The sequence below is a fragment of the Homo sapiens genome, chromosome 10 (genome assembly GCF_000001405.40).
Source record: "Homo sapiens chromosome 10, GRCh38.p14 Primary Assembly".
In the NCBI taxonomy this organism is placed as follows: domain Eukaryota; kingdom Metazoa; phylum Chordata; class Mammalia; order Primates; family Hominidae; genus Homo; species Homo sapiens.
Genome location: NC_000010.11, coordinates 99,757,882 through 99,771,893, shown reverse-complemented (window position 1 = coordinate 99,771,893; position 14,012 = coordinate 99,757,882). Strand labels below are relative to the sequence as shown.

The 14,012-nt window shown below is 42.0% G+C and overlaps 2 annotated features.

The window, feature by feature from the left end:
- Positions 5,326-5,375: a silencer, noted in NCBI's record as "silent region_2698". NCBI's record gives its function as "represses an Ori minimal core promoter by ATAC-STARR-seq in GM12878 lymphoblastoid cells {active_cell/tissue: GM12878}" and the evidence as "EXISTENCE:reporter gene assay evidence [ECO:0000049][PMID:35858748]".
- Positions 10,495-10,695: a silencer, noted in NCBI's record as "peak1067 fragment used in MPRA reporter construct". NCBI's record gives its function as "represses an SCP1 promoter by STARR-seq MPRAs in K562 erythroleukemia cells {active_cell/tissue: K562}" and the evidence as "EXISTENCE:reporter gene assay evidence [ECO:0000049][PMID:32103011]".

The following is a 14,012-nucleotide window of genomic DNA, read 5'->3' as shown; positions in this document are numbered from 1 at the left end:
TGGATTCCTAGGTATTTTATTCTCTTTGAAGCAATTGTGAATGGGAGTTCACTCATGATTTGGCTCTCTGTTTGTCTGTTGTTGGTGTATAAGAATGCTTGTGATTTTTGTACATTGATTTTGTATCCTGAGACTTTGCTGAAGTTGCTTATCAGCTTAAGGAGATTTTGGGCTGAGACGATGGGGTTTTCTAGATAAACAATCATGTCGTCTGCAAACAGGGACAATTTGACTTCCTCTTTTCCTAATTGAATACCCTTTATTTCCTTCTCCTGCCTGATTGCCCTGGCCAGAACTTCCAACACTATGTTGAATAGGAGCGGTGAGAGAGGGCATCCCTGTCTTGTGCCAGTTTTCAAAGGGAATGCTTCCAGTTTTTGCCCATTCAGTATGATATTGGCTGTGGGTTTGTCATAGATAGCTCTTATTATTTTTATCATGGTAAGGAAAAACACTACCTTGACATATGTTGGTCTTTTTACTATGAACTTATTTAAGTGCATAATAACAAATTCATTCTTATAATTTATATTTGGACTATTATTATAGATAGTTTTGTGAATTGAGAACATGAGAATGGCCAAATTAGTGGGCCCAAGAAAATTTGCTGAACAAATATCTTTAAGCCTACTGCCAAGAGTGTAAAATATGTATTTCTCTGTGTGTTTATATATGTTCAGACATACAAGTAGAAATTTTCAGAGTGCTTTTATTAGCACTTAAAATATTAGCACTGTAAAATATGTATTTCTCTGTGTGTTTATATATGTTCAGACATATAAGTAGAAATTTTGAGAGTGCTTTTATTAGCACTTAGCTTTTCAGCTAGTTTTTTTTTTTAACTTGTTGTTTTGGGACATATTTGAGAGAGATTACCAAGTGGTAATTTGCAAAAGGAGTTTGCAGTAAGAGGTCTACATCTTATTGAAAGAATATCTTACTTTGAGCTTAAATTATTTTACCATTGAGGTTGCATCCACAGAGCATCGAGTACAGTGCTGGGTACAAGGATATGGGCTAAAGTGTGCTATTCTCGTAATCATGACTTCTGACATGAGAGACAACTGTGTTGTATCATGTATCCAGGAGAAGGAGATTCTGTTTCTTTTGACCTATAAAGAAGGTAAGGGCCATTACTTCGGTATCTTGTAAGTGGACCCTTGTGAATGAGTTGAAAGATCTCCAAATAGGATCACTTATTTACAGGTGCCTTATCTTCACAGAAACTATAATTGACTTCTAAACAATTTCAAGGTACAAAGTACTTTATGAAGTCGACTGAACTCTGAGTGGCTTATGTAAGCTGTATGGTGGTTTAAAAGCCATTGAACTCAGCCAACCCAAATGACTTAACTAGTAAGATAGTTTTCCTAAAGATAGGATATCTCTTGCAAATGACTGTCATACTGTAACAGAGCTTTGGAAGGTTCTTAACCCTACTAACAAAGGTCACTAGCAACTGCTAGAGGGAAAATGAACTTATTCTCCAATTATATTAAAATTCTTCTAAAGGGTATACCCAACTTCGGCTGGGCATGGTGGCTCACGCCTGTAATCCCAGCACTTTGGAAGGCTGAGGCGGGCAGATCACTAGAGGACAGGAGTTTGAGACCAGCCTGGCCAACATGGTGAAACTCCGGCTCTAACAAAAAAAAAAAAATTAGCTGGGCATGGTGGCATGTGCCTGTAATCCCAGCTACTCAGGAGACTGAGGAAGAAGAATCACTTGAACCCAGGAGGTGAAGACAGCAGTGAGCTGAGGTCATGCCACTGTGCTCCAGCCTGAGCGACAGAGCAAGGCTTTGTCTCGAAAAATAAAAAATAAAAAAAAAAAAGGGTATAACCAACTCGAAGTGACTTGAATGAAAATACTTATTGGTTCAAATAACCAGAACCCACAAATAGACCAGTTCTCAGGCTTGACTTACTCTAGTGGCTCTGCTCCAACTTCCTCTCATTCTTTGTTTTGTTCTCTTTCGCCATCAGCGTAATCCTCAAATAGGTGGGTGAGATGGCTGCAACAGTTTCAGGACTCACACCCACACACCATAACATATAGTAAAAGACGGAAAAGGTCATTTTCAGTAGGTCTCCCAGAAGTAGAATCCACCAGCAAACTTCTCCTGGTATCTCAGTGGTGTAAATTCCTGAATCAATTCCTTACAAGGATGAGGTTACTCTTGGATTAATCAGGCCCATCCTGAAGCTGTGGTAAGGTCAGCCTTCCCTAAAGCACATGGGCTACATGGAAGAAGAGTGATTTCTAGGACAAAACCAGGGTTGGAAGAGAAGGGAGAGATGAAGTCTGGACAGGAAACCAATGATGTACGTTAGAAATAAACCTTTAGTTTTATTGTAGTCCAGATTCAGGACAATGTGGGAAACAATCTCTACTATTTATTGTCATATTGTAAAAAGAATTTGTAGTGGCTTAGAAAAACATGTAAAATATAACAAGATACAATGTGAGTGAAGAAAAAAAGAATAGAAAAAAGAAGATAAAACGAGGGACAAGCCCATTATACAAAATTCATTCAATAGGATCCTGTCCACTTGCTACATGTGGGCTGCAATTTTGACTCTGAGCTTCCTTCCTATGTACCAATGAAAGGAGGGAAACTTAATCAGAGACTATATCAGTGAGGCTTCTTTTGGTTGCAAGGGACAGAGATCCAAATCAAACTGGTATAAACAAAAAAATGAAAAAGAAAATGTATTGGCTAATTTAATAGAAAAGTCCATGAATGATCTAGCTTTAGGCGCAGATGGGTTCAGAGTCTCAAACAACATCCTTAGGACGTTTGCAACTGTGTTGGTTTCGTTCTCAAGTAGGCTCTTCCCACTTGGTGGTAAAAATGGCTACGAAAGCTCTAGACTTACATGGTCCTCATGACCAGTAACCCTAGCAAAAAGAGTGTCTCTTTCCTGACAGCTCCAGGAAAAGTCTTTCGTAGGATTCTGAACAGCCCTGTTTGTGTTGTGTTCCCAGCTCTGGACCAATGAATATGAACAAAGGAATGAGGCATTCTGACTGGCTAGCCAATTCCCCTCCCATGGGCAGGGGAATTAAATCTATGTGATTAACAGTCGCACCAGGAAAGCATCATTATTCAGGGGCAGCTTCAGAAAGGAAAAGAGCTAGGCAGACAAAAAAAAAAATGTCTTTATAATGATATAATTCCATATACAAACCAATTGTTCAGAAGCCCAGCTACTCCTCAGGCTAACACTTAAGAAAAACATTCTCTTCTAGGGCTCCAATGACACACCTATATAAATATTTTATACAGCTGTTTCTAATTTTTTTTTTTGAGATAGTGTTGCTCTATTGTCCAGGCTGGAGTGCAGTGGTGTGATCTCAGCTCACTGCAACCTCCAGCTCACTGCAACCTCCATCTCTAGGGCTTACGCGATTCTCCCACCTCAGCCTCCCCAGTAGCTGGGACTACAAGTGCGCACCACCATGACCAGCTAATTTTTGTATTTTTTTGTAGAGATGGGGTTTTGCCATGTTGCCCAGGCTCATCTCAAACTGCTGAGCTCAAGCGATCCACCTGCTTCAGCCTCCCAAGGAGCTGGGATTACAGGCATGAGCCACTGTGCCTGGCCTCGAATACATTTTCAGTATAGACTAGTGGCATAATGCCAATGTGGTCTGATATTTTTTAAAAAAATTCTGTGAGGAACCAGAGCAATACAATCCAAATACACAACATTGTGATTTTAAAGGATAAAATTTTTCATCTGCACAGGAATGGGTGGATTGAATATTTTCGTCACAACTCTTGGTTGTAGGGGAAAAAATATCCAATCAAACCAGTGTAGCCAGTTTACCGAAAGACGTAAACTAGAGAACAAATAAGAAATAGTATTTTGCTCCCACCTGTGTCTTCAACTGTGCCATGTGAAACTCTCTTCCCTTGTCTTTTTTTTTTTTTTTTTTTTTGAGATGAAGTCTCGCTCTGCTGCCCAAGCTGGAGTGCAGTGGTACAATCTCAGCTTGTGGCAACCTCTGCCTCCTGGGTTCAAGCGATTCTCCTGCCTCAGTCTCCCGAGGAGCTGGGATTACAGGCACGCGGCACCACGCCCAGCTAACTTTTTTTTTCTTTTTTTTTGAGACAGGGTCTCGCTCTATCATCCAGGCTGGAGTGCAGTGGCGCGATCTCGGCTCACTGCAACCTCCGCCTCCTGGGTTCAAGCGATTCTCCTGCCTCAACCTCCCGAGTAGCTGAGACTACAGGCGCGTGCCACTATGCCTGGCTAATTTTTTGTCTTTTTAGTAGAGACGGGGTTTCACTATGTTAGCCAGGATGGTCTTGATCTCCTGACCTCGTGATCCGCCTGCCTCAGCCTCCCAAAGTGCTGGGATTACAGGCGTGAGCCACACGGCTAATTTTTGTATTTTTAGTAGAGACGGGGTTTCACCATGTTGGCTAGGCTGGTCTTGAACTCCTGACCTCAGGTGATCCGCCAGCCTCGGCCTCCCAAAGTGCTGGGATTACAGGCGTGAGCCACAGCGCCCAGCCCCTTCCCTTGTCTTGACCACATCTCAAGGCAGATCCTACAGCTTTTTGGTCTCTCTCAGGTATAAAAAGGTCCAGGCTAATCTAATCTGAAACTTCTTTCTCACATCCATTTTTAAACAGCCTTATTAAGATGAAATTACATGCAATTCAACCGCTTGAAGTGTACAAGTCAATGGTTTTTAGCATATTCACAGAGTTGTGCAACCACTGCCACAACCAATTTGGGAACATTTTTATTACCCACCAAAAACATCGACAACAACAACAACAACAACAAAGCCAACATCCAATTTAAAGCTTCTCTCCTGTTCGAGAACAGCCTGGCCAGCACGGTGAAGACCCATCTCTACTAAAATCACAAAATTTGCTGGGTGTGGTGGCACGTGCCTGTAGTCCCAGCTACTCAGGAGGCTGGGGCAGGGGAATCGCTTGAACCCGGGAGGCAGAGGTGGCAGTAAGCCGAGATTGTGCCATTGCACTCCAGCCTGGGTGACAGAGTGACTTTGTCTCAAAAAAAAAAAAAAGGAAAAATAGTAGAGTAGAGATGTTCTTAAACTGCCTAAAATGTCGCTGAGGCTGCATATGCTTTATTTATATTTATTTGTTTATGTATTTATTTGTAGAGATGGGACCTTGCTATGTTTCTCAGGCTGGTCTGGAAGTCCTGGCCTCAGGAGATCCTCCCACCTTAGCCTCCCAAGTCACTGGGACTGCAGGCTCGTGCCACCATGCCTAGCACTGTTTTAGTTTTTAGATGCCATACACGTTTGTTTTTGTGGTAATTCTTAGCAAGAACTTTTTTAAAAGATGGGTCGCAGTCCTGTATGAAACCCACACAATCGTTCAGTGCTAACCGCTGGCAAGTTAGTTAACACCTCTAGACCACAACCACATGGCTGTGTAGTAGAGTGGTCACATGCATGTCGTGGACTCTGGATCTAGCTACCTGGGTGCACAGGACTTAAGTGCTCCGTCCCTCAGTTTCCCCATCTGTGAAATGGGGATGACTGAGCTAATACCACCTGCCTCACAGTTTGCAGCAGGGATTCGATGAGTGAACACTTGGACGGTGCCTGGAATAGTGCCTGGTTCCTAGGCAGCGTCCTGTGAGTGTTAAATAAAATATCTTTTCATGCTGATTTTCCTTTCTGCTTTGACATGCTGAGATTCTGTTTTAGCTGCAGGATGGTTTGAGTATGGCTTTGGTTTTCTATTAAAGCTTCTTTGATCTCTTAGCTCAACCATTTCAACAAAGCATATGGTCTCTGCTTGCAGGGGATCTTGTGTGGGTGCATTTTCTGGTGCTCTTTGATAAGGAGTGGGGTATGAACATTTGGTTTGGGCATGACAGCTTAATGACTTTCCACAATAACTTCTTATATCAAAGATTATTTCCCTTAAGCCTGGGAGTTGAAACAATATATTTTGCTAGAAAATAAATAAGCTTGGAAGGAGGAAATGAGAATTTCATTATGACTTGCGATGCTTTTGCCTTTTAAAATTTCATGACATGTGCTTTCATTAAGTAAAAATATCCCTCCTTCAAAAAAAAAAAAAAAAGCTTCTCTCCTTTATTGGCTCAGGGACCAGTTACTTCTGGGGAACAAAGTCTCATTACTTTTTATCATTTTTCCTTGTTATTCAATTCCTCCTTCCCTAATTCCAGGATTCGAGCAGGGAGGTGAGAACCTGGAGAAGGGGTACAAAAGTAATTTTGCTGGCTCAGGGACCAATGATGAATTTTTCAGTATGTGGGACTTCCAATGCAAAAACCGGAAAAGTTCCAAGCAAACAAGGATGGCTGGCCACCTTATGAACTGGTGCTGTTTGTAAATCACTCTTGCTTGATCAAAGGCTAACCATAAACGTTTTCAATGGGCCAGGTGCGGTGGCTCACGCCTGTAATCCCAGCACTTTGGGAAGCTGAGGCGGGTGGATCACGAGGTCAGGAGTTTGAGACCAGCCTGCCCAACATGGTGAAACCCCGTCTCTACTAAAAATACAAAAATTAGCTGGGTGTGGTGGCGTGCGCTTGTAATCCCAGCTACTCTGGAGACTGAGGCAGGAGAATCATTTAAACCCGGGAGGCAGAGGTTGCAGTGAGCCGAGATCACGCCACTGCACTCCAGCCTGGGCGACAGAGCAAGACTCTGTCTTGGAAAAAAAAAAAAAGAGTTTTCAATATTTCAGCTGCTTTCCAAGTGGTCCAACCTGTATTCTGTCCTTCAGCAGTATAATTTCCCACTAGTAATGTTAAGTTTGATTACTGGGTTAAGGTGAAAACAACCAGATAGTCAATTATGACATTTTCTATTTTTATGACTAGCAAGTAACCTATAGGGTGATATTTTGGCACTGTGGATATTCAGCTCCCATTCAACATTTACCAAACGGTTTTAGCATTGGTAATCTTTGACTGATTTATTTCATTTGGAGTTAGTTACAAAACTGTTTTCTAATTCTAAGAGATAAATAATGTTGCTATGAACATTCATGTACCAAGTTTTCGTGAGGACATATGTTTTCAATTCTCTGGGAGTACATACCTAGGAGTGGAATTGCTGGGTCATATGGCAACTCTGTGTTGAACATTTTGAGTAATTCCCAGACTGTTTTACCAAGGAGTGGCACCATTTTACATTCCCATCAGTGGCATATGAAGGTTACAGTTCCTTCACATTCTATCCAACACTTGATATGGTCAGACTTTTGGCTTACAGTAATCCTAGCGGGTATGAAGTGGTATCTCATTGTGGTTTTGATTTGCATTTCCCTAATGACTAATGATGTGCATTTTTTTTTTTTTTGAGATGGAGTCTTGCTCTGTTGCCCAGGCTGTAGTGCAGTGGCGCAATCTCGGCTCACTGCAAGCTCCGCCTCCCGAATGATGTGCATTTTTTCATGTACTTGTTGGTCAGTTGTATACCTTCTTTGGAGAAATGGTTATTTTCTTTTTTTTTTTTTTTTTTTGAGACAGGGTCTCGCTCTGTCGCCCGGGCTGGAATGCAGTGGCACGATCTCGGCTCACTGTAAGCTCCGCCTCCCACGTTCACGCCATTCTCCTGCCTCAGCCTCCGGAGTAGCTGGGACCACAGGCGCCCGCCACCACGCCCGGCTAATTTTTTGTATTTTTAGTAGAGACGGGGTTTCACCATGTTAGCCAGGATGGGAAATGGTTATTGTTTATTGTTGAGTTGTAAGTGTTCTTTGCATATTCTAGATACAAGACCCCATTGTATATATGATTCGCAGATTTTCTTCCATTCTGAGGGTTGTCTTTTCACTTTATTGATGCCACTTTGAAGCATAAAAGTTTCCAACTTTGATAAAATCCAATTTATCCAATTTTTTTCTTTTGTCATTCATGCTTTTGATGTTATGTCTAAGAAGGCTTTGCCTAACCCAAAGGTCACAAAGATTTACCCGTTTTCTTCTAAAAGGTTTTTTAGTTCTTAAATTTAGGTTATGACCCTTTGAGTTAATTTTTGCATTTGGTGTAAGGTAAGGGTCCAACTTTATTCTTTTGCATGTGGATATCCAGTTGTCTAAGCATCATTTGTTAAAAAGACCATTCTTTCCCCCACTGAATTGTCTTGGAATCCTAGTCAAAAATCAATGGACTATAATGTAAGTGCTTATTTCTGGACTTTCAATTGTATCCTATTGAGCTATATAATTATCTTTATGCCAGTACTACATGGCCTTGATTACCATAGCTTTGTAGTAAGTTTTGAAATCAGGAAGTATGTCATCAAATGTTGTTCTTCTTTTTCAAGATTTTCTGGCTATCCTGGGGCATTTGCGTTTCCAGATGGATTTTAGGATCAATTTGTCAACTTTTACACAAAAAGGCAGTTGGAATTCTGCTAGCAATTACATTGACTCCGTAGATCAATTGAAGAGTGTTGGAATCTTAAAAGTAGTAAGTTTACCAATCTATGAACATGGGATGTCTTTCCATTTATTTCTTCATTGTTAAGTCTTTTAAAATTTCTTTCAACAATGTTTTGTAGTTTTCAGTATACTGTCTTACACTTTTTTTTTTTTTTTTTGAGACTGAGCCTTGCTCTGTTGCCTGGGCTGGAGTGCAGTGGTGCGATCTTGGCTCACTGCAACCTCTGCCTCCCAGGTTCAAGTGATTCTCTTTTCTTAGCCTCCCAAGTAGCTGGGATTACAGGTGCCCACCACCACACCTGGCTAATTTTTGTATTTTTAATACAGACAGAGTTTCACCATGTTGGCCAGACTGGTCTGGAACTCCTGACCTCACATCATCCACCCGTCGCGGCCTCCCAGAGTGCTGGGGTTACAGGTGTGAGCCACTGCATCTGGCCTGTCTTACGCTTCTTTGATTACATTTATTCCTAAGCATTTTATCTTTTTGATGCTATTATAAACTGAACTTTTATTAACTGCATTTTAGGATTGTTTGTTGCTAGTGTAAAGCAATACAATTTATTTCATATACTGATCTTTCCGAGAGTAGGAAAACTCAAAGTGTTTTTTCTATTCTCACAACAATCAACACAGAGGACTTTTATGACCAAATGTGGGGAGTGAGGGTCTCCCTGACACACACCAAGCAAGCAATCACTTCTGCAGCAGACACCAGCTCGGTGTACTCTAATTCAATCTCAACATTATCTACCTGAAGATAGCATCAGATCCCACAGGTTGAGGGCTCAGTCCCCAAGACTGTCCCCCAACTTCCCACTCCTCACCAGCCAACTTCCAACATCAATTGCAAGCCCCAGATTATTTTGCCTGTGCTTGTCACCGACCAACTATAAATCTGAATTCCCACAACCCCCTCCTCAGGTTTGATTGATTTGTTGGAGTAGCTAACGGAACTCAGGGAAACATGTTTAATACAATAAACATGTTTATTATAGTTTTTTTTTTTTTTTTTTTTTTGATACAGAGTCACTCCATCACCCAGGCTGGAGTGCAATGGCGCGATCTCAGCTTTCTGCAACCTCCACCTCCCAGGTTCAAACTATTCTCCTATCTCAGCCTCCTGAGTGGCTGTGATTATAGGTGCGTGCCACCACACTTGGCTAATTTTTTTTACTTTTTAAATTTTTACTAGAGACGGGGTTTTGCCATGTTAGCCAGGCTGGTCTTGAACTCCTGATCTCAAGTGATCCACCCGCCTTGGCCTCCCAAAGTGCTGGGATTGCAGGCATGAGCCACCATGCCCAGCCTACAGGGGCTTTTTTTTTTCTTTTCAACTTGTACTCTTCAGGGGATACATGTGCAGATTTGTTACAAAGATATATTGCAAGACGCTGAGGTTTGGAGTATCACTAAACCCATCACCCAGGTAGTTGGCATAGTACCCAATAGGTAGTTTTTCAGCCCTTCCCTCTTTCCTTCTCTCCCCACTCTAGTAGTCCTCAGTGTCTATTGCTCCCGTCTTTGTCCATATGTAGCCAATGTTTCGCTCCCACTTATAAGTGAGAACATGGGGTATTTGGTTTTCTGTCTGCATCAGTTTGCCACAAAAAAATGCCACAAAACACATTTATCAGTAAGGAAAAAATGCCACAAAACACATTAGTAAGGAAGAGAATCGAGCATCAAGATTTAAGGCAGAAAGGGAAAAGCTAACTCTACTGTTTTGTGCAAATGCAGTCAGGTTTATTATTAGGACAGCCCTTGTCTATATAGCAGCTAACCCCTGAGCCTTCAAAGGAAAAGATAAACACCAGCTGCCAGTCTTTTGACTGTACAAGAGGGCCTGGACAATCAGAACCCTTTTTCTGGATTGGTCCAATCAATGATGTTGTGGTTAGGATATACTGGCACCAGGCTTCTTGTACAGGCTGCAGAACTGTGAGCCAAATAAAATTTCTTTTCAAGTTACAAAGCCTCAGGCATTTATAGCAACACAAATGAACTAAGGAAGACAACTGGTACCAAGGAGAGGGTGGTTGCTATAAAGATACTTGAAAATGTGGAAGTGGCTTTGGAACTGGGTAATGGGCAAAAGTTGGAAGAGTTTAGAAGGCTCAGAAGAAAACAGGAAGATAAGGGAAAGTTTGGGATTTATTAGACTGTGTGAGCGGTTGTGGCCAAAGTGCTGACAGAAATACAGACAGTAAAGGCCACGCCTTTCTAAGCAGCAAAGCGTTCAATAAGTGGTGAGGCCAGGCATGGTGGCTCATGCCTGTAATCCCAGCACTTTGGGAGGCTGAGGCAGGAGGATCATTTGAGCCCAGGAGTTTGAGACCAGCCTAGGCAACACAGTGAGTCCTCCAACTTTACATTTTTTTTTCTTTAATTAGCTGGGTGTGGTGGTATGTGCCTGTAGTTCCAGCTACTGGGAGGCTGAGGTGGGAGGATCATTTCATCCCAGGAGATCAAGGCTGCAGTGAGTCATAATCCTGCCACTGCTCCAGCCTGGGTGACAGAGCAAGACCCTGTCTCCAAAAAAAACAAAGTGTGGCTGCTTCTAACAACCTACAATCAAATATGTGAACAAAGGAATGACCTAAAGTCAGAACTTAAAAGCAGAGAATAAAAATTTAGCGAATTTGAAGCCTGGCCGTGTGGTAGAGAAGGAAAGGGCATTTTCAGGAGAGGAATCCAAGAATATTGGATTAGCCGAGTCCAATCACTTGCTAGAGAGATTAGCAATGATAAAAGGGAGCCAGGTGTCAGAACAATGAGAAAAAGGCTATGAAGCCATTTCAGAAATCTTCAAGGCTACCCCTCTTATCAAAGGCCTAGAGGCCTAGGAGGATGGAATAGTTTGAGGGACAATCCCAGGTGCTGCTGCTGTGTGGCTCCTGCCTCAGGATGCTGCTCCCTGCATCCCAGCTCTTCTGGCTCCAGCCTCTCTGGAGGATGTAGGCTATAAGCCTTGGTAACTTCCGTGTTAAGTCTGCAGGCACACAGAATGCAAGTCATGGCTTGCCAGCTTCCACTTAGATTTCAGAGGAGTATTAGAAAGCCTGAGTGCCCAGGTAAAAGCCTGCCACAGGGGCAGTCCCCACAGAGACTCTACTAAGGCAATGCAAAGCAGAAATGTGGGGTTGGAACCCCTGCAGAGTCCCCACTGGGGAACTTCCTAATGGAGTTGTGGGAACATGGCCACTGCCCTCCAGACCTTGGATGGTAGAACCATCAACAGCACGCACCCTCAGCCTGGAAAAGTCACAGGCATTCAACTCTAACCCATGAGAGCAGCTCACTTGAGCCATGCCCAGAAAAGCTGCGGGGACAGAACTGCATAAGGCTTTGGAGCCCACTCCTTACACCAGTGTGTTCAGGTTGTAGGATGTGAAGTTAAAGTAGATTTTAGAGCTTTAAGGTTTAATGTCTGTCCTGCTGGGGTTCAGATTTGCACGGGGCCTATTGCCCCCTTTCTTTGATTTCTCCTTTTTGGAACAGGAATGTTTACTCAGTGCCTGTACCACCACTGTATCTTGGAAGCAAATAATATGTTTCATTTCATAGGCTCACAGCTGTAAGGAACTTACCTTGAGTCTCAGATGAGGCTTTGGACTTTTGAATTGATGCTAGAACAAGTTAAGACTTTGGGGATGGGAAGATTATATTTTGTAATGTGAGAAGGACATGGGATTGGGGGGTCAGGGGCAGAATACTATGCTTTGGATACGGTTTGTTTGGCCCCCACCAAGTCTCATGTTGAAATCTGATCCCTAATGTTAGAGGTGGGAGCCTAATGGGAGATGCTTGGGTCAAGGCAGCATGTTCTTCATGCATGTCTTGGTGCTGTCCTATTGTCCTATTAGTTCTCACCCTATTAGTTTCCCCAGACTGATTGCTAAAAAGAGCCTGGCACCTCCTCCCCCTTCTCTTGTTTTTGTTCATGCCATGTAATCTGTACATTCTGGCTCCCCTTTGCTTTCTGCCATGAATGGAAGCTTCCTGAGGCCCTCATCAGAAGCAGATGCTGGTGCCATGCTTCTTGAACAGTGTGGAGACAGAAGTGACTTTATTTTAAATGCTAATCCACCTGGCTAACCCTGAGTCCAGGAATGCCTCCAAAATGTTTAGTTGATGTATTACTCTTTATGTAGAAACACCTATTCGTTACAAGTTTCCTCCAAAACAATCCCTGTTGGTGCAGAAATCATACGCTGCAATTCCTGTAGCCACCTATACATTCTTACCAGACCACCTATACTTTTTCCTAAGATATAATCCCTGGGTCTGGGGGGTTATGGGGCAGAGTTCTCTACCTGTCTTGCAGCCACCCAAGACCATGCTTCTGTCTGTAAATTCCCTCAATAAACCATACAATACTGACAAATTGGATTTGTCTGCCTCGTTTGTTTTCTCAACTCCTTCTGGCTTTGAATATATATGGCCCTTTCATGGAACATGTAGCTTGCAGAACTGTAAGCCAAATAAAACCTCTTTTCTTTATAAATTATCCAGCCACGGATATTCCTTTATAGCAACACAAATGGACTCAGACAGACACTTTGTCCCTTAAGTCAGAAGGACCTTGCCAATAAGGGACTGTCTTTTAAAGTTCTTTTGATATTGAACAATGCCCCTGGCCATGCAGAACCCCAAGAGTTCAACCCTGAAAGCATCAAAGTGGTCTACATGCCCCCAAACACAATGTCTCTAATTTAGCCTCGAGATCAAGGGATCATAAGGACCTTTAAGGATCATTACACATGGTCCTCTATGAAAAGGACTGTCAACACTATGGAAGAGAACCCTGATTCAACATTACGAAAATCTGAAGGTATTACATTACTGAAGATGTCACTATTGTTAACAGAAAAACCCATGAAAGCCATCAAGATAAAAACAAATTCCTGTTAGAGAAAACTGTCCAGATGTTGTGCATGACTTCACAGGATTTAACTTAAGTTTTGGGGGAGTCAAAAGTTCTATGTAAGTTTTAGACTGTATGAGGGGGTCAACACTCCTAATGCCTTCATTGTTTGGGGATTAGCTGTACTTCCCAGTGCTATGTTGTAATCTTAACTGGTATTTCTCCAAAGACAGAAGAATATATTTCCTCTTAGTTGTTGTAATAGATACAATTATCCAGGGACAGATTAACTGATTTTTGATTTACCAAGATTAAACAAAAAAGATAGTGAATGCATGTAAATTAGGATTTAAGGCTGATATAAATGAGGTTTCCTGGCAGAGAACAGAAAGACAAATAGTGATGGAGAACAGCTGGCTAGTAAAATATAAGATCAAGCATAATGCTCTGCTTAAACTGTTGGTAGGGGTATTTAGAAAAAATGGTTTGCAAAGTAATAAGCCCACGTTACATGGGCTTTTTCTACTATTTGGGGGAAAAACAGCTTATCTAAGAAACAAAACAAAAACATTACTTTAGAAAAAAATCTTTAGCTCTATTTAGAGATCTCTGCAACGTTCTTTTAATTTCTAAATTATTGCTTTTATACAATGGAATAAATACATATTCATGTTTGTTTTTCAACAGTGTCACACTCCAAAATTTTTGCAAATACTACAAAATTC